The 22,150-nt window shown below is 38.0% G+C and overlaps 1 long non-coding RNA gene across 3 annotated transcripts in view; it reads right to left on the reverse strand.

Annotated features, from left to right (window-relative positions):
- Positions 1-22,150, reverse strand: part of LOC105369715 (uncharacterized) — a 182,759-nt gene that overhangs the window by 51,780 nt on the left and 108,829 nt on the right. The window contains exon 5 of one of the 3 annotated variants that reach the window (XR_001749061.1): positions 8,266-8,373. The exons of the other annotated variants lie outside the window; for them this stretch is intronic. This is a non-coding gene — a long non-coding RNA (uncharacterized LOC105369715). Of the gene's footprint in view, positions 1-8,265; positions 8,374-22,150 lie in introns of those variants that run through there. 3 annotated transcript variants of the gene reach the window in all.

The raw sequence follows: 22,150 nt of genomic DNA on the forward strand, positions 1-22,150 counted from the left end.
ATATCTTAATTTCCTAAACCCTAAGGAATTTTTATCTTTCAATTTCTAGATGTTATTACTGTCATAGGACATTTTTTGCAGAGAAAATATAGCTTATGCTATGGCCAGGTTAATGCTACCAGTTGTTCATGGAAAATGTTGGTATCACATTTTTAATCTAGTATTTAGCCCCATCTCAAAATGTAAACATACTTCCTTTTATTACCAAATAATAATCTATGCCCCCAGCAGCTTCATTTCATCTCTTGGCGTCACTTCTCCTCAGAGTGGCACTCCCTCTTGTACCCTTACCAGAGTGCCAGCCCATCCCAAGTCTCACCCAGTTTCAGGGAAGGAGCAAAGCTGAGGGCTGGGGCAAGACAGCTTGTTGCACAATGTGCCAGCAGTGAGCTATTAGGTCAAGTAAGAATAATTCCCATCCATTAGTGGCATCAGCAGGACCACATCAGATGCAGTGCACCTAGTCTGCAGGCTTACTATGATTAAGATCAGGGTTCAAGTCATTGCGTCTGATGAAGGTTCTGCTCACATGCACCACTATGTTCTCTATTCGATCAAGGCTTGCCAGCCGCAGGTTAATGCCTACACCATCCTCTCCTTCCCCAGCACTGTGGCTCACCTTTCTGGTCTTGGTGTTTTGTTTTGTTGTGTTTTGAGTGGCCCAGCTTCTGTACAATGTAAACCCTGTCAGCAGGGGAACACTGTGTTCATCACAGCTGTAGGACAAGGGTGATATCCTTATCTCTGTCCTGCCATTTAATTGGTTTACATTTTGTGGCTATAGGCTGCAGAGCACGGAGGATGATAGGGATGAAGCCTAAGAATAGCTCATTTGAACCATATGAGTCCTACCCAAAGTCCTCTAAAGGTTTTCAACTTACCAGGCATAAAAGTCAAAGTCCCTACAGTCTCCTTCTGGGTCCTATATGACCTGGCTCTTGCATTCATAATCTGGCCCCTGTGATCTATGACTCACTTTTTATCACTTCCTTTCACTTGCTGTGTCTCAGCCATGTGGCTGGTACTTAGCTTCAACACAGGGCCTTTGTGCTTGCTGTCTGCTTTGCCTGGAATGCTCTTCCCCTAGACTACCATATGGCTTGAACCTTCATGGACTTTGCTCAAATGTACTTTTCACCAGGACTTCCCTGATCATGTAATTTACACTGTAACCTCTATGGAAGGGGGACGACAGAGAAGAGCACCCCTATTCCCCTTCCTTGCTCTATATTTCTCATGAATATTCATTCATGCACCTTTATGCCTATGTCTGTCTGTATGTACACGCATATTGATTGATAAATCCTCCTCTACTAAATAAAAGTCTCATGATGGCAGAATTTTTATTATTGCTCTATTCTCACTACCTCAAAGACTACCTGACATAAGATACCTTTCATAAATATCAGTTGAATAGATGGATGAAGGAATTGTGGTGAATCTTTGCTCTTATTAGGTATAACCAATATGATCCCCCTATTTTCAGTTCCTCTGAACAAGAAGATTCATCAAGTTTAGCTTTCACTATAGAACAAAGCAAGCTTGTTTACCAGCAAGAGAAAGTATTCTATACAAAAGAAAAGGAACATACTATTTGAAGTAGCACTTTAGTCTTGACATTTAGGTTATGCTGTGAGGAAAACTGAGCCACACTAAGTTCTAACACATGGTTTCTCAACCTTGGCCACTACTGATATTTGGAGTTTACTTAGGAATAAACTTGGTCAAGGAGGCAAAAGACTTGTTCTTTCAAAATTGTGTCAGTAATCAAAGAAATTAAAGCAGACATAAATAATTTGAAAGACCTCCCATGTTCACGGACTGCAAAATTAATATTGTTAAAATGTCCATACCACCCAAAGTGATCTACAGATTCAATAACATCCCTAAAATCCCAATGTCACTTTTACAGAAACAAAAAAACGAACCCTAAGATTCATATGGAATCCCAAAAGTCCTCGAATAGCCAAAGGAATTTTGAGCAAAAAGAACAAAGCTAGAGGCACAACACTCCCTGATTTCAAAATATATTACAGAGCTACAGTAGTCAAACAATATGGTACTAGCATAAAAACAATTGTATAGACCAATGAATCAGAATAGGGAGTTCAGAAATAAACACACATATACGGTCAAATAATCTTTGATAAGGATACCAAGAATATACGATGAGAAAAAGATTAGCCTTTTCAATAAATAATATGGGAAAATTGGTATTCACATGCAAAAGAATGAAACTGGATGGTTATCTTACACCACGCACAAAAATCAACTAAAAATGGATTTAAAACTTAAGCATAACAGCAGAAACTATAAAACTCCTAGAAGAAAACAGGAAAAAAGCTTCTTGACATTAGCCTTGGCAATGATTTTTTGGATGATACTAAAAGCACAGGCAACAAAAGAAAATAAAGTGGATTACATCAAATTAAAAAGCTTCTGCACAGAAAAAAGAAACAATCAAGATAAAAAAACAACCTATGGGATAGGAAAAATATAATGGAAAACCATATATTTTATAAGATGTTAATATGCAAAATATACAAGAAACTCCTATAACTCAAAAGCAAAGAACCTCAAATAAAAAATCCAATGAAAAATGGATAAAGCAACTAAGTAGACTTTTTTTTTGCAAGGAAGACACACAACTGGATAACAGGCACATGAAAAGGAGTTCAACGTCAATAATCATGAGGGAAATGCAAAGCAAATCAAAACCACCATGAACTATTACCTCACATCTGTTAGAATGGCTATTATTTAAAAAACAACAGATACACTTTGGCACAAATGTGGAGAAAAGAGACGCTATTGACAGGAATCTAAATTGCTGCAGCCACTGTGGGAAACAGTATGAAGGTTCCACAAAAAATTAAAAATAAAACTACTATATGATCCAGCAATCTCACTTCTGAGTATATATCCACAGGAATTGAATTCAGGATTTTGAAGAGATGTGTGTACTCCATGTTTACAGCAGCATTATTCACTGTAGCCAAGACATGGAAGCAACCTAAATGTCCGCAAACAGATTAACTGATGAAGAAATTGTGATATATACATAAAATGGCATGTTATTCAGCCATAAAGAGAGGAAATCCTGCCATCTACCACAACATGGGTGAACATGAAGGACACTATGCTAAGTGAAATGAGCCAAACACAGGGCTACATGATTCCACTTACATGATGAATCTGAAATAAAACTCCTAGAAGCAGAAAATGCAATGGTGGCCAGGGGTTGGGGAGAGTGGAAAATGGGAAGATACTAGTCAAAGAGTACAACATTTTGGTTACACAGATGAATAAGTCCTAGAGATATACTGTATAACTTAATGTCTATAGGTGACAACACTGTATTGTATACTCAAAAATTTGCTATGAGGGTAGATCTAATGTTGTGTCTTTATCATAGAAAAAATTAATAATAATAAATAAGAGGGTAAGAGGAAAGTTTTAGAAGTTGAATAGGCTTCTGGGATAGCTTGCAGATTGTGGCAATGGTTTCATGGGTATATACTTATCTCTAAACTAACCAAGTTGTATGCATTAAATATATACAGCTTTTTCTATGTTGATTGTACTTCAATAAAAATAGTTTTTTAAAAAATTTCCAAACATTGCCAATGTTCAATAAAATCCCCTCAGTTAAGAACCAGTGGTTGAATAGAGTCTTAATTCCCAGAAAACATACCTTGATTGATCTTTAATGATACTATCTATAAGTACATACAATTCTCTATGATCAGTAAAATCATAGCACCTATCTTACACAGACACATTCAAAACAAAACAAAACAAGGAGTTCATGCTATTCAGTATCTAGTTAACACGGCAAAGCACAAACTGCACTAATTTCATTTTTTAGAAATCTCTTTTTTTTAGTTTCAAATAACTGAAAGAGAAGATAACCTATGAACATTAAATTATTTGAGAGAAGAAAGATATAAGGAGAGAAAAACAGGAAGACACAGCTCATATAAAAATTACTTTTCATGCCGTGATGTGTTGGAGCCCACCCATGATCATCCAAGCCTGTGGTTGATCTTATTTCCATGACTGTTTTATAGCTCTAAATAAACTTTTAAAAACACATATATTTTCATGTCACAGAACTAGGTCCCAAGAAATTTGTGGAATACCACTCTCTTCACACACAAGAGTTTAAATGATGAATGCAATAATCATCATCATGGAACCAGCCACTACTAGGTCACGAATGACCTGTTTCCTATTATGTTCCAAAGTCCCATGCACAGCATAAGTTGCTGATTGCAAAGTGGATGAAACTGAAACGTGCAATTTCCCTGCAGAGCTAACGTTGTGGACAAAAAGAGGCAGAAGATGCCTACAGGGAATTCAGGCGATTTCTATTATAGTGCATCATTTCCCACTGGCTTTGACCTGTGAGAAAACTGGGATTTTCCACTGTTTTCATTATAAAAGGAGTTTGTAGTAAAAATTTCTTATTACCACAGAATCTAAGGGTGGTTGTCTAACCCAGCTCTCAACACTTGATGCAGTCATGCCTTTAACAATATCACTAACATGGTTATTTAGTCTGTGCTTAAATATCTCCATGTCCTGATGTTCATTACTTTCTCAGAAAGCTATTTCACTGGCAGAGTTTTAATTAATAGAATATCTTTCATTATTTTAAGATAAAATTTTCTACTTAGACTACTGTAACACACAATGAGTTTCTCCTGCCATATGAAAGATATTCAAAGGTTTAAAATGTGTATCATCTCTTCTTCCTATATTTTTCTTTTTGTGTAAAGAATCAGTATTGTATTGAGTACAATGTCTATATGGATTTTCTTTACCTATTTTGTCTGATTACAGTAAAAATATTCTCCCTAACAATTTTCCATTTTCATGGTGATCACCATAAACATATCAATTCAATAGAATAAAGACAAAAGTTAGTAGTTGCTATCAATTAAAATATAGATCGTACATCTTAAAATTAATAAATTCATGTTAATGTTTATTATTATTTTAACTATCAAAGTACAACTGAACAGATGTATTAAATAAGTAAAAATGCATTAAATAAACAAAAATCTTCCTTTACTTTTGTCTTATATAAAACAAGTAAATAATGAGAAAATATTCTCTTAACTGTAACTGTTAAAATAGACTTGCAGTGTGTATCTTTTGATTAATCAATATTTATTAAGGATGGGAGCAAAGTAGACAAAATCTTAGTTTGAAATATTAGTTGTGCCATTTATTATGTGACCTTGGACAAGTTACTTATCCATAAGTTGACTTATCTCTAGGATAGGGATAACAACAATACATGTCTTATAGGATTATTGTGAAAATTAATAATGCATGCAAACTTTTAGTTTTATTTTTAGAGACAAGGTCTCACTCTGTCACCCAGGCTGGAGTACAGTGGTGCAATCAGAGCTCACTGCAGTTTTGAATTCCTGGGCTCAAGTGATCCTTCCACCTCAGCCTCCCAAGTAGCTGGGACTACAGGCAGCCACCATGCCTGACTAAATGTAAAAGTCCTAAAATAGTGTCTGATACACAGTAAGTGATCAGCACAATTTAGCTATTATTACTAGCCCAATATTCTACTCTTTATATATTTATCCTCCATATAGTAATTATTAATATATTTGTTTTCAAAGCAACGTATTAATGTATTTAGTTATTTGTATATACATGTATATTTATATTTATAAAGAAAATTATGCTGTTAATTATAGAACATCAATTAGGAAGGTAGGTGTTAAAATATTTTTTAGATGTGGTATTATTAAAATATGTTTCAGATGTGGTATTGTTAAAATATTGTATACACACACACACACACACACACACCACATATGCAATGAAGTACTATTCAGCCTTAAAGAAGAGGGAAATCCTATCATTGCAACATGGATGCACATGGAGGACATTATGCTAAGTGAAATAAGCTGGGCACAGGAAGACAAATACTGCATAATCTCACTTACATGCAGAACCTAAAAAACTTGTACTCATAGAAGTAGAGAGCAGAATGCTGCTTACCAGAGGCTGGGGGCAGGAAGGGAGGGAACAAGGATTTGTTGGTCAAAGGGTACAAAATTTCAGTTATACAGAAGGAATAAATTTTCTTCTTTCTTTTTTTTTTTTTTTTTTTTTTTTGAGACAGGGTCTTGCTCTGGTGCCCAGGCTGGAGTGCAGTGGTGTGATCAGGGCTCACTGCAGCCTTGACTTCCCACGCTCAAACAATTCTCCCACCTCAGTCTCCAAGTAGCTGGGTCTACAGGTACATGTCACCATGCCTGGCCATTTTAAAATTATTATTATTTTTTGTAGAGACAGGGTCTCACTATGTTGCCCAGGGTGGTCTTGACCTCTTGAACTCCTGGACCCAGGCTGGTCTTGAACTCCTGGACCCACCTTGGCCTCCTGAGGTGCTGGGATTACAGGTGTCAGCCACCATGCCCATCCAGGAGGAATAAATTTTGAGATCTATTGCACAGCATAGTGATAATAGCCAAAAATAATCTATTCAAATCTCAAAATAACCAAGATATTCCAAATGTTTCACCACAAAAAAATGATGAGTGAGATGATAGTTATGTTAATCAGTTTGATTTAATTACTTCTCATTGTATATATGGAATATATATATCAAAACATCACAATGTACCCCATAAATATAATTTGTAGATTAAAAATAATATTAAGAAAAAATATGCTATTGAAAAAAGTATTTTTCAGGTAATAAGTATTCAAATAATTTCTGTTTCAAGACTGTCATGATTTTCTGTGTTGAGAGTTCAGGTTCAAATCTATTTCATCAAACGTCTCTGTACTAATTTTTTGTTAATAATGTTATTAATAATACTAACATTTTTAAAGTAATTCAGTATTTTGTAATGTAATTTGGTCATTTGAAATTTAACATTGCCCAAAATATAATTGTCTATTCATTTTTTTTTTTTCTTTAGACAGAGTTTCACTCTGTTGCCCAGGCTGGAGTGCAGTGGTGCGATGTTGGCTCACTGCAACCTGTGTCTCCTAGGTTCAAGCGATTCTCCTGCCCCAGTCTCCTGAGTAGCTGAAATTATAGGCAGGTGCCACCATGCCTGGCTAACTTTTGTATTTTTTAGTGGAGATGGTGTTTCACCACGTTGGCCAGGCTGGTTTCGAACTACCGACCTCAAGTGATTGGCCCCCTTGGCCTTCTGAAGTGCTGGGATTACAGGCGTGAGACACTGTGCCTGGCCATAACTGTGTATTCTTATGACCTCAATAACTTCAATAACCTAGTTGCTTTAGCAGGAAAAAGGAAAAGGCATGGTGTTTCTGTAACATTTATATTTATCTGTAAATACTAATGTGTGAGCCATGTATGAATCTTATTTCAGTGCTGTTGAATACCAACCTACAAGATGCTTTCCATAATAATGTAAACATAGAAGGAACATTTCCTCTCTTAAGAAACTTCCAGTTCTGTTTAGGATATTACAGACAATGCAATATATGATGGCTTTCAAGTAATTGATATAGACACTAAGTATTTTAAAAGCATAAGAGAAGCAAGGTCATTGTCAACAGGGATGGGCAGGAAGGGCTTCCTGAGAAAGGAGGATGCAACTGTTTCTTGGTGGATAAGTGGGAGTCAGATCAAGGTTGGGGAAACTATTCCAAGGACACAGATGTGAAGATATCCACAACCATTTATGTAATATTTCAGCAGGAGTAGAGTTATTGGGAGGGGAGAGGAGAAGGGAGAGGAGAAGCTGGTTTGAGAACAAAATGTGGAATGCTGTGTATACCAAGTTAAAGGTAGTAATTCTGAAGATAATCCAGAGGTGTTGTGGGAGCTTGAAAAAGAAAACAGAGGCTCATTTAGAGAAGTAAATTATGTCTGCTAATCAGAAATTTCATTTTACAAGCATGCGAGTGATCTTAGGTTTTACTGCATCAGTTTACATTAAGGCTGATAGAGTACTAATTTTAATTCATGGACTTAATGTCTCAATTTTACTAATTGTTTATATCTCAAGAACTTTGTCAAGAAGTTTCTATTCTCTTAGTTGATTTCCTTTTTGTAAAAAATTCATATATGACTCTAAGTTTCTTTGGTTTTTCTTTGGTCTACAGCATCAAGTGACCACAGAGTTTGGAAACTGAGACAAGTTGAGAGCTGATAAAATAAAAATATGCTTCTTATTCCTATGCATTAATTGGCATGGTGTGTGAAGTAAATGCAGTGAGGTGAGAATCAAAACACTCACATTATTCCTGACTTTCTCATTGAGAAATGATGTGGTCCTGGCAAATTCACAAATTTTCCATCTATGAGTGAGTGACAATGAGATATCCCTGATCACTTTACATGGAGGTCATGTGATACACCTGAAAGAAAACACAATTTGGGGTCAGACATTTGCCGTGACCATGTGCCTCTCAGTTCCAGGTGCCCACTCTGCCTCCAGTACCCACTGCACCCCAGCAGAGATCTCTTCAAAGCAAAAATCAGATCATGTTGCTCTTCTGCTTAAAACTACCACAATCTCCACTATTCCAAGGATAATAAACAAACTACGTGGCTCAGCCCTATATTTGCACCTCCCATCATGTTCCTATTCCCTCATTCTCAGTTCCTTAGATAGGCCCCATTCTCACCTTCGTAGGGCCATTATGTGTACAATTTCTTTGAGACTATGTCGTTCTTCATGTCATGATTGAGTACAGTCATAATTTTAATAGGTGATGGTGTGATTGTCTAACATCTGCCACCCATCTGGACTGTAAGTTTCAATGAGGACGAGTGAAGTTCCCTTTGCTTGTTCTGTTAATCCTACTCTATTCCTGTTACCTCCCATGATAATCTAGCACAACAGGCATTCAGCACATTTTTGTTGAACTAATTCATGAATTTAATGATTGTGTGACTTTTATAATGGAGATAATGATGATAGCTACTATAATATACAGGGTGGTTCCTCTGCTCCACAGGGTTTTTATAAGCTTTTTTACAAGGCAAATACAGGGCTATAGATTAGGAAGAACATGGCAAACAATTAAGCACACAAATATGAGTATTCCTCGTAATAAAAATAGCTGAAAACAAATTCAAATAATAACCCATAAAATTTTTATACCAAACATAAGCCAAGAAAATTTTAAGATGGAAATCTAAGGAATTAAGGGGGAACCAGGAAAAAAGCACTTATAAAATAGAATATGTCAACTAATGATATTAAAGATACCTCAGTCTTGTAAATGTGCAAATTGGAGAATCACTTAGGTACACACTACTTTCTACCCATGAATCCAAACAGCCTTAAACAATGCCCTTCCCTTCCTTGCCATGGTTGTCCCGCTTGTTGTAGATTGCTGACAAGGGGCAATAACATTCAAGTGATCCAGTCTCACAATGTGGTTTGTCATCTTTTCAGTTCCTATTGTCTGACCTATCATGGCCAAACCAGAGCCTGCAAAACCATTCTGACCTTGGCTTAGCAGATACTTTGGTATTACCTTACCAAACAAAGCATCCCTGAATAGAAGCATTCAGAAAACGTCCCTGACAAAAATGCTCAGCATCTATTTAGTGACTCACAGGGAGGGCTGTATGTACCACAGTTTATAGTTCAGTATGTATTCACATGCATGTGTATATGTGCATGTGTGTCAAGCATGTGTACAGCACGTGCATAGCATGTGCATGCTAGTCAAGCAAGCATGCCCCAGAAAACCCAGATAAAGTGCTTGTGCTTTTAAATAAAAGTTGACTATGTTAAATCATGATGCAGAGCCGCAGTGCTGGAAAACTTCATATGGTTTAAAGAGAAGAGCACCCTTGTAGGAAAAGCAGTTCATTGACTGCATATTTAATGAGAAGGAAGTGCATGAAACTGAAAAATTGAAATAAAAAAAGCAATTTTGGTGTCTATGGTTTTGGTGAAAGGATCTAATACTGCTGTTACTTTCACATTAATATTTATAAAATAGATCTGTTATGGATATTCTGGCTCCAGTTTTGAGGCTTATCACTGCCTCCCAATATTGCACATTGTACTCATCTTTCCAGCTTTATTTTCTGCAGTCTTCCACTCACCAGTGCCAGGAGGAGTTCCCTGTGTGCTGCAGCCTCCCTGTAAGTCTGCAAAGCATCTTCATATTGTCAGTGTTGTAATATAGTTCTTGCTCCCAAAGGAGATAATCTCACCTGTTTTCATGTCACTTACAGTGCACTAAATTGGCATTCATACTTGTCTGAAAACAATACATTTCTAAATGCTGTTAAAAATTTGAAAAGGACTGTCTGTAGACTGAAACTATGTTTTATTGTGATGTTTCAGCTTATATCTAGAAAAGAGTAAAAAATAAAATGATGCCACTACCTTCTGTATATGAGAATGACTCTCTCTACTGAGTTGCCAATATGGAAGCAGTACCTCAAGGAATCATCATCATCAATAAGGACAGACTTATTCTGCTAATGCACAGTCTTTTATATAAATCCCATTTAAAACAAATGCTAGCTTTTGTTAGACATATAGAGAAAACCACAACCTTAAATAAAATGTAGAAGAATGAATTCCAATTTTAGCTTCATTAACACCACGTTGTAATCAGCAAGCTGATCATCCATTAATTAGAATAGGATTTGTAGTGTTTTATTTCTTATTTTGAGAAAGGGAATCGATACTACTTAAAGTTTTGAAAATTGTTAATACCTAAAGAGCAGGTCTCTTCCAACTAGTGGAAAGGTTAATGGGCAATGTTTAGGTTTCTGAGCAACTTGCAAAGTGAAGAAAACGATCTTTATCATTCTTCGGCCATGAAGTTTTCTTCCAATAACCTGTAGAGTCTCCTCTGGTTCACCAGGACCATGTGATTGCTTGAGCTATGATTGATCGCCCATTAATAATGGAAATTGTGTGCCAGTAAAGTTTTTTTTTTAATACCAGAGCTTCCTTAATTTAAAAATGATTAATTATTTTAATTAATACCATCTCTCTTCTTTAGTGGGTTACACCATCAATTGTTGATTTTCTTCTTCCTGCCATGGTCTAACTTCACACCATCCACTATTTATGTCAATCACCAAAGAACATATATTTGGTCTTCAAACTCGTTTCCTGGCTTACAACTTCTAAAACCCTAAGAAACTCCAAAGTGATGTTCTTGTCTGCTTACGAGTTGACTGGTAGGTGGCAGCCTCTAGGTAGCTTCAGGATGAGTCTGGTCATGCAAACAAACAAACAAACCTCACATCTTTTTTTATTTGTGGAAGTTTAATAAATATGTTTACTGGCCAACATTCTAGTTAATATGATATTCTGAAATCATCAGTGGCTGTTATTTACCCAAGTCATTCTTGTTTTAGGTTAAGACAATTACAGATGGTCCCTGACGTAGGATGATTTGACTCTAATTTTTTGACTTTATGATGGGCTTATCAGGACATAAACCAATAAGTTAAAGAGCTCCTTATGACATAAAATGGAGTTACAGTTTCTACTGAATGCTTATCACTTTCACCATCATAAAATAAAAAAAACATAAGTGTAGGGGTGGGTTGCCCCTCCACACCTGTGGGTGTTTCTCGTAAGGTGGAACAAGAGACTTAGGAAAGAAAAAGACACAGAGACAAAGTATAGAGAAAGAAATAAGGGGACCCGGGGAACCAGCGTTCAGCATATGGAGGATCCCGCCAGCCTCTGAGTTCCCTTAGTATTTATTGATCATTCGTGGGTGTTTCTCAAAGAGGGGGATGTGTCAGGGTCACAAGACAATTGTGGGGAGAGGGTCAGCAGACAAACACGTGAACAAAGGTCTTTGCATCATAGACAATGTAAAGGATTAAGTGCTGTGCTTTTAGATATGCATACACATAAACATCTCAATGCTTTACAAAGCAGTATTGCTGCCCGCAGGTCCCACCTCCAGCCCTAAGGCGGTTTTTCCCTATCTCAGTAGATGGAGCATACAATCGGGTTTTATACCGAGACATTCCATTGCCCAGGGACAGGCAGGAGACAGATGCCTTCCTCTTGTCTCAACTGCAAGAGGCATTCCTTCCTCTTTTACTAATCCTCCTCAGCACAGACCCTTTACGGGTGTCGGGCTGGGGGACGGTCAGGTCTTTCCCTTCCCACGAGGCCATATTTCAGACTATCACATGGGGAGAAACCTTGGACAATACCTGGCTTTCCTAGGCAGAGGTCCCTGCGGCCTTCCGCAGTTTTTGTGTCCCTGGGTACTTGAGATTAGGGAGTGGTGATGACTCTTAAGGAGCGTGCTGCCTTCAAGCATCTGTTTAACAAAGCACATCTTGCACCGCCCTTAATCCATTTAACTCTGAGTTGACACAGCACATGTTTCAGAGAGCACGGGGTTGGGGGTAAGGTTATAGATTAACAGAATCTCAAGGCAGAAGAATTTTTCTTAGTACAGAACAAAATGGAGTCTCCTATGTCTACTTCTTTCTACACAGACACAGTAACAATCTGATCTCTCTTGCTTTTCCCCACACATAAGTTAAACCCATGGTTAAATCTTAGGCTGTCTGCTGCATTGCAAGCATTAAATGAATTTTTTGACTTAGAGTATTTTTGACTTACCATGGGTTTATCTGGATGCAATTCCATTATTAAGTAGAGGAGAATCTGGTAACAGACTACAGTTGTGCCTCAGCATTCATAAGGAATTGGTTCCAGGACCCCCACAGATACCAAAATGTGTGGATGCAAAATTTCCTTATATAAAATGGTGTAGTATTTGCATATAACCTATGCATATCCTCCCATATACTTGAAATCATTTCTAGGTTACATTTAAGATCTAATATATGTAAGTACTATATAAATAGTTGTCACAGTGCATTGTTTTCTTTATATTATTTATTTTCCAATATTTCTTATTCTCAGTTGGTTGAATCCATGGATCCCAAACGGTATTAGTCAGAGTTCTCTTAGAGGGACAGAATTAATAGGATATATATATATATACACACCCATATATAAAGGGGAGTTTATTAAGTATTAACTTACATGATCACAAGGTCCCACAATAGGCTGTCTGCAAGCTGAGGAACAAGGAGAGCCAGTCCGAGTCCCAAAACTGAAAAACTTGGAGTCCTATGTTTGAGGGCAGGAAGCATCCAGCATGGGAGAAAGATGTAGGCTGGGAGTCTAGGCCCATCTCAGCTTTTCACGTTTTTCTGCCTGCTTTATATTAGCTGGCAGCTGATTAGATTGTGCCTACCAGATTAAAGGTGAGTCTGCCTTCTCTAGTCCACTGACTCAAATATTAATCTCTTTTGGCAACACCCACATAGACACACCCAGGATCAATACTTCAATCCAATCAAGATGACAGTCAGTATTAACCATCACAAGTCCACCCCTTGTCAACTTGAACCCATACACATCTCCTGAGATCATACATAATCTTCAAATAAAGTCAATAATAAGGTCATAATTATGCCTAATGTAATACAACTATCCTTCACACAACCAGAAACACACCAATTCCAAATACTATTACATAAAGTTAACAATATTTAAATGCTAATATGAAGTCAATAAATCTCATGTCACCTCATAAAGGAAAAGGCAATAAAATGAAGATATTTTCTTAGTACAAGTGTATACATGCACAAACATGTTTTTAGGCAAAAAAAGAGGAAATACACTTGACAGTTACAGTCCTCGTTTCTGCAGCTGGTCATGTGGTCATAGCTGGTATTGATGACTACCTTCTTCTACTAACCATTCTGTATTCCCTTTTCCTTCAGCAAGAATCTCAACATGTCATGGTATTTTTCCTGGTGGAGTGACCCAAATCTTCATTCCTGAAGGGTCTGTGTCATTTGTAGTTCTGCCTGGATTGGGCTGTTGAAGTTTCCCATTGAATTTTCCCACAGGGCATGGTAATACTAAGAGACTCCCTAATGGATCTCCTGTATTCCATGTGTACTCTTCCTTACCTCTATTGTGGAGTAATAGACTGATTTCATCTTGAAAGTCTGGATCAATCACCCCAGCCAACACTATAACTCCCTTGTTAGCCTGTTGACTTAAAAGTAGGAGGAGCCCAAAGTGTCCAGGTGGCAATCTTAACTTCCAGTTTATTGGAAACATTATTATGTCTCCAGGTGGCAGCATTCCTCCCTCTGGAACTAAGACCTCTAGGCCAGCAGAACGTAATGTCATGGAAACAGGAAGTAAAAATTTTGCTAATGGATCACTAGGGATGATGGTGAATGGTGCCACTTCTACTTCCACCCCTTGATTCCTGAGCCCGTGAATCCTGGCTATATGAGAAATAATACCATATATTGGACGCTGATTCAGAGCATACATGGCCTTCTGGAGAACTTTGCCCCAGCCCTGCAAAGTATTGTCACCTACTTGGCACTGTAATTGTGACTTCAAAGGGCTGTTCCACCATTCTATCAATCTGGCTGATTCAGGATGATGGGGAACATGGTAAGACCAATGAATTCTATGAGTATGAGCCCACTGCTGCACTTCTTTAACTGTAAAGTGAGTGCCTTGGTCAGAGGCAATGCTATGTGGAATACCATGATGGTGGATAAGGTATTCCGTGAGTCCCATGGATGGTAGTCTCGGCAGAAGCATTGCGTGCAGGATAGGCAAACCTATATCTGGAGAAAATGTCTACTCCAGTGAGGACAAACCTCTGCCCTTTCCGTGATGGAAGAGGTCCAATATAATCAACCTGCTACCAGGTTGCTGGCTGATCCCCTGAGGAATGGTGCCATATCGGGGACTCAGTGTTGGTCTCTGCTGCTGGCAAATTGGGCACTCAGCAGTGGCCATAGCCAGATCAGCCTTGGTGAGTGGAAGTCCATGTTGCTGAGCCCATGCGTATCCTCCATCCCTGGCACCATGGACACTTTGTTCATGGGCCCATTGGGAGATGACAGGAGTGGCTGGGGAAAGAAGCTGAGTGGTATCCACAGAAGGGGTCATCCTATCCACTTGATTATTAAACTCCTCCTCTGCTGAGGTCACCCATTGGTGAGCACTCACATGGGATACAAATATCTTCATAGATTTTGACCATTCAGAGAGGTCCATCCACATACCTCTTCCTCAAATTTATTTGCCACCAATTTTCTAATCATGCTTCTTCTAAGTCCCTGACCATCTAGTCAAACCATTGGCTACAGCCCATGAATCAGTATATAATTGCACATCTGGCCAGTTCTCCTTCCATGCAAAGTGCACAACCAGGTGCACTGCTCGAAGTTCTGCCCACTGGGAAGATTTCCCTTCACCACTGTCCTTCAGGGATGTCCTAGAAAGGAGCGGTAGTGCTGCAGCTGTCCACTTTCGGGTGGTGTCTGCATATCATGCAGAACCATTTGTGAATCAGGCCCTAGTCTTCTCTTCCTCTGTCAACTGATCACAGGGAACTCTCTCATGAGACCATCGGTGCAGGCGAGAGAAGACAGGGTGGCAGGAGTGGAGACCATGGGCATTTGAGCCACTTCCTCATGTAACTCACTTGTGCCTTCAGGACCTGCTCGAGCCTGATCACATATATACCACTTCCATTTGATGATGGAATGCTGCTATGCACGAACCACTTTATATCTAGAATGAGTCAGAAAGCACCCAGTCCATGATAGGCAGTTCAGGTCGCATAGGGAGGGCCAACTGTATTGTAGAAAGAAAATCATCCTATAGCAAATTCCAAAGGTGTGTTTCAATTAAGTTTCAATTAAGCTTGAACACATTAATTGATATATTGCCCTAAGTATATATCAGTTGAACCTTGAAAATTTCTTTTCAAAACATACATTTTTGTTTTGCTAGTGTTTCTTCTGATAGGACTTTTAACCATAGGATAAGGCCATCTTGCCTTTACCTAGAGAAGTGTATGGATTTGAAGTCTTTCATTTGTATGATCTCATATGATCCTAACGGTTTTTTAAAAAACCACTTAGCTACCTGAAATTCCTCTTGGGATGCAAAAGATCTAAATAAATAGACAAAAATTACCATTTTACAGACACAGAAACTAAAGAACAAAGAGGTTAAATGCCTTGACAAAGATCTCAGGGCAAGTGAGGTTCAGGGGAAAAGCAGAATCAGTTTTTTCTAGTCGAGATAATTTTCTCCAAAGAAGCATCCTAGTGAGTTGTATGTAGGTAACTGAAATTGCCTACATACAATTTTCCCTAGTGGAATGTTCATTTTCTGTACAGTAATCTTTTCAGGTGTGCTATTTTAGAATGCAAGTTTGACTGGCAGGTAACAAAAACAGGTCTATCTACAGATACACAGTAAGCGGCGGTGGGGAGTTAGGGGAACTTCGTAAGTATACAAACATAAAGGCAAAGAGAAAGAATACTGTTGGCAAGATAAACAGTGAGCTGCTTTAGGGGTTTGTCTGTTATTGAAGTAGAAGAGGGCTAAACTAGTAATTCCCTTGAAGACTCTTCTGGTTTTGATTTCTTAAAGTGCATAACTATTTGTATTGTGTTACTAACAGGTCAGCACATAGAAATATACAACAATTTTAAGTGTAAATCAAGCAAACTTCTTAGGCAGGTCAATATTAAATAAATTAAAAATATAACTTATAATCCTGAAAACAGAAAAAAAACCTTCAAATTTACCAGAAAATAAAAACCTCTGTGTGTAATCGAGGTTGGTAAAATAATGAAAGTAGAATTTTACTGCAAGGCTGAAAGTCCACTGGGTAATGAGAATGATGTTATGTTTTTGCATTAAGCCTAAAATTTGTCTTTTTATTATTTATGAGTATTCATTATATTCAAGAGTATATGTGGTTCTGCCCAGATCATAAAGCAAATAGAATCCCTTCCCATATAGGGTTGCTTTAAATAAACAGCAGCAAGAACATTTTAGAGAGTGCCTGATGTACAAGCACATTCTATCCATTATAAGGTATAGTAAACGTAGTTCTATAATGTATATTAAATAAGAAAAGAAAGAGCAATGCTGGAGGTTTGTTCATCTATAAAAAGCTAGTGTCTACCCTGTTTCTGAGTCTAGATTTAAATGAAATTTCTGCATCATGGTAGAGGAACATTTCCTCATTGTAGATTTATAAAAGCTTCTATAAATGAGGTAAAAAGAAGTCTGCTGCTCAATAAATCATCAATACTAGTTCCTGCAGCCTGGAGGGTTTTCTTTAGGGATATGATTGTAAGAACTGGGCAGATTTTACTGAGCTGAACTTGGAGAGCTAGAGAAATCATGGTCCCAAGGCACAATATGGCTGTCAACATTCTGAGCATCTTGCCGAGCCCTCTGAATTTTATTTCTGATGCATTATTTGGGTTACTGCCATTTGCTAGATAGCTAGACCTGATCAGTGTTATCTAACCTCAACAGAACAGGTTCTTCTTAATCTCACCTGTCAGTGTCAGCTAAGAAACTCCATAGTTGTGTAAGTCTGAGCTCTCTAGACAATTTTTTATTCCAGCATAATTCATGTCTTTGCCTTCTTTAAATTACTTCTTTCAATGAGAACAACAAAGAAAATACATGAAAAACTTAAAAAATTAACACTAAAATCTGCACTGGGGGGTGTGGTGGGGGAGGAGAGAGTAAAACAGGAAAAGAACTAATATTCACCGAGCAACTACTGTGAACCAGGTGCTATGATTCACTCTATAAATATAGTGGACACTTATGTCAATATTAATTATTTAAAAATACCAATAATGCATATCCATGTTTATTTACTTCAGATTCAGTTATTGAAACCCTTCAATGACTTCTGGTTTCAGCTGGAAGATGTAGAAAACTGGAAAGAACATCACTTCCATTCTTACAAATAGAAAAAAACTGGGAAAACTGCAAATTAATGGCCTTTCTTGAACCCATCAGATAACTGAGGTTGCAGGGCAAATAACCAACTCAAACCAGATGCCTACAGGAAGAAACAGGACTTGAGCATGGGGAAGAAGCTGGCAGGTACCCTATAAACCAGCAGGAAAATCAAACCAGAAATGTTCACAAATTACTAAAGGCTGAGCATGGGCCAGCTGGGAGAGTGAAGCCCCTGGGGACCATGGACTTGGGAAGGTGGTCCTACATCTTTGCTGAATTTTCCTCCAGGAACATCACCAGGTTCTAGCATGACAAAACTTCCAGTCCCTGTTTGCGTGGGACTGAAGGGGATCCTGAGATGTAGGATATGCAACTTCATAACCAGGACAAGGGCCGGCCCTATCAGGATTTCACAGGAAAGATTGTGGAGAATCTTGGGGAAACTCTCTATTCCTGGGGAGGAATGAGGGAAACGGAGGAAGGACAGCCAAAACTCATCCAAGCCCCTCTCCCCTTTCTCCCAAGCACTAATCCTACCATTATGTGTGTATAAATATGTACTTAAAAAAATCCACAGGTACTTTGTATCTCAGAAAACACCCTTACGAACAAACTTGCTGGAAGTGTTTCTCTGAACAAATTAAAATCAGTTCTCTCACAAGATAAATTCCTAACACAGAATATGAATAAACAATACTGCAATTATTATTATTATCTGAATTAATTAGTATTGCCTTAATTAGTTAATCACTATTACCTGAGTTAATCTTACTTCCCCTGGCTTTTTGCTGCTCTAAAATAGGCACAGAGAGCACAGATTTTTATCTAGCACCTCTCCCTCCTAAACTGCATTACTCAGCTAGGTTTCAATGAGTAATGCAAATTTTGAAGTTCAAAATTTTAAGAGGGGACTTCAAATTTGCACACATATTAAGATCAAATAACTACACGTCTAAGTTCCATACCCCCAAGAGTAGTCTTAATGATTCTGGTTCAGTGGAAAATGTCCTCATTATTTGTCTTCCTTTCCTTTCACTCATGACTCTGAATTGCAAGAAGGAATTAAGACATCATTTTTAAAAAATATGAAGAGAAATCACTGAAGGGAGAAAATACATGACATATATTTAAAATCAATTTATTGTTTTGTTCTTGGCATAGGCAGTGCATTTATCCTAAGTAATACTATCATCTATGTATTGAAGCTTGATTTCAGGTAGTCCTTCTTTCATTTAATGAAAATGAAATCTGTCTACTGATAGTGCTGTGCTGGATCTAATTGGACACATCTATTCCCTACTTTGTGGTCAGTGATGTCCTATTGGTGTTGCAGGACTTTTCCTTAGTTCAGCTAAATATGGGGTCCTTGTCTGTCCCATGACCATGAAAATTTAGGCTCACAGACAGTTTGAAGGGTGAGTAAAGTAGGATTTTATTGGATGAAAAGGAAAAAAAGGGGGAAACAGGGACTCTCCGCAAGGCCAGGGTCCCCTGCTAGAGTGCTTCCCGCCTCACAGTTTGAATCCCAGGTTTCAACACAGGAAGAGGAGGGACCAGGTTCTTCCCCACTGCAAACTGCATGAACTTCCCAAGGACCTACCCCAGTGTGCAGGCTGGTGGAGGGACCCCCTCCCACCTGGCTGTCTCACTGGCAGACTGAAATAGGCCAGGGCAGGAGTATTTACACCATGGAAATTAGAAAATGCTACACTTAGAAATGTTAACATGTAAATATTGTTTAAAGATACTCTCTAATAACAAATATTTACTGCATAGAAGGGAAGGAGCTGGTATTCCAAGCTCATGAAGGAGCCATAGAAAGTGAGGTGAACCTGAGGCTGTCACCACTGGAAGGTCGTTCTAGTGCCCTGCCATCATGGACATGTGCTGAACCACTTTCCAGAAGTATTTTCACCCTACTTAATGACCGGTCATAAGTTATCTCTCATGAACCAATTTTTTTCTCTGAAATATACTATATCCTAAAATAGTACACTTCTGGTATATTAAGGACTGTAGTGGGTTGAATTGTGGCCCCCAAAAAGATATGTCCACATTGAAATCCATGGAATCATTGAATGTATCCTTATTTGTAAAAAGGGTCTTTGAAGATGTAATTGATTAAAGGATTTGGCATGAGGTCATTCTGGATTACCCAGGTGAGCCCTAAATCCGATGACAAGTGTCCTTACAAAAGATAAAAGAGATGAAGACAGAGACAAAGAGAAGGCAGTGTGAAGACAAATGCAGAGAGTGGAGTGATGGGGCCACAAGCCAAGGAAGCTGAGGAGAGCATGGAGCCACCAGGAGCTGGAAGAGGCAAAGAAGAATTTTTCCTAGTGCCCAGAGGGGGCAATGGCCCTGCCAAAACTTTATTTCTAACTTCTGACCTTTAGAACTGTGAAAGAATAAGTTCCAGTTTTTCTAAGTGATTAATTTGTAGCAACTCATAATGGCAATCACAGATGCCAAAGGGGATTAAGACATTTTAATTATTTCTTTAAGGCACATGCTATCCAAGATCCACTAATTCAAAAGATATAATGGGTATGCAGTCTCTTTCATCTTCTATCTTTTCACTGATTTCCTCTGGAAAACAGTCCTCTCCCTCATCTGTTATCAATATGGGCATTTCCTGAGAAACTCACATTCAGTATCTGCTCTCTACTTCATCTTTCACATATGGCTGAAATGAATCATTTAATCTGGCATTCTCTCCACCCCCCTACTCAGCAAATGTTGGCTCTTTTCTAATTTGGGGTTTTCTCTGCAGCTAGCAGTGTGTGATCAATACAAAACTGTGACAATTTAAGCAAGAGGGAAATATCACTTTAAAGAGGAAATGCCAAACATTATCAAATAAAAGCTCAAGAAAAAGTGTGACATGAGCCAGCAGCCACAGAACTACAGCACTGTCAGGAGAACATGAAAAGGGAAAAACAAAAACAACTTTTTTTCTATATTTTGCATACAATGGAAGTGTCTACTTCTCCAGGCTCATCTCATGCCATTTTGTCCAGCATTCTCTATACTTCCAGGCACAGTAACTGTTCATATTCCTGGACACTTTCAGCTCAGATTTAGTTTAGACTGACTTGGCCATCATAGGATAGTATGAGTGGCTGTGAAATATCTCATACCTTTTAACCCCCAAATTCTACTTTTTGAATCTGTCTTAAGTTAATTATCAAAAATCCATCTTTAAGTTGTCACATTAAGATATTCATTTCCACAGAAAATAGAAAGGGATCTAAATAACCAACAAGAGGATACTGATTAAATAATTTCTAATACATGAATTTAGTAACTACTAAGTAGCCACTAAGATGGTATTTATGAAGGTCATGTAGCAACATAAAAGACATGCAAATTTTATATAATATAAAGACAAGACAATAGAATAGGTTATAGATTTGTAAGTAGTTTAACATATATATGCATATATAGAGAGAATATTAATTTTCTATTGCACTATAACTAATTAGCACAAGTTCAGTGGCTTAAAACAACACTCATTTATTAGTTCACAGTTCTGTAAGTTAGAAGTCCTGGGTTCAGCTGGGTTTTGTGCTTAGGGTCTCACAAGGCCAACGTCAAGATGTTGGCTGGGCTGGGTTCTTATTTAGAGAATCAGAGGATTAATTTACTTATAAGTTCATTCAGGTTGTTGGCAGAACTTAGTTCCTTGTGTCTCTATGGCTGAGCCCCCCATTTCCCTGCTGGTTATGGCTGGGGTCCTGCTCTTTATGGGCCACCCACATTTTTTCTCATGTGGGCCCCTCTATCTTCAAGCCAGCAATGGTGCCTGGAATCTTTCTGACGTTTCAAATCTCTCTGACTTCTCTTTCCTTCCTCTTCTGCCTTTCAAAGATCTCACATGACTAGATCTGGCTTGCCTAAATAATATCTGTATTTTAAGGCCAGTTGACTTGGGACTTAATTAGATCTGCAAAGTCCCTCCATAACAGCAATCCCAAGACTAGTGTCTAATGGAATAAGCAGAGATGGGAGTCTTAGTGGGGCCATCTTTAGAATTCCTTCTATCTATCTTCCTGTACAGGGAGGATGAATTGTACATGCAAAATTTGGTCTAGGTGTGCACAGCTTAGGAAACAATCAAGAAAAATGAAGTCAACCTATGTAATAGAAAAAATATAATGGAAAATCATATCTAATAAAGGGTTACATATATATGCTTGTGTATATACGTATCTCCACAGTACATAAGGATTTCATACAACTCAATAACAAAATACCACAAATAACTTGATTAAAAAAAAAAGAAGCAGAGGAGTTGATAGACATTTTTCCCAAAAAATACATACAGATGGCCAACAGGTATA

This window comes from Homo sapiens, chromosome 12 (genome assembly GCF_000001405.40).
Source record: "Homo sapiens chromosome 12, GRCh38.p14 Primary Assembly".
Lineage (NCBI taxonomy): Eukaryota > Metazoa > Chordata > Mammalia > Primates > Hominidae > Homo > Homo sapiens.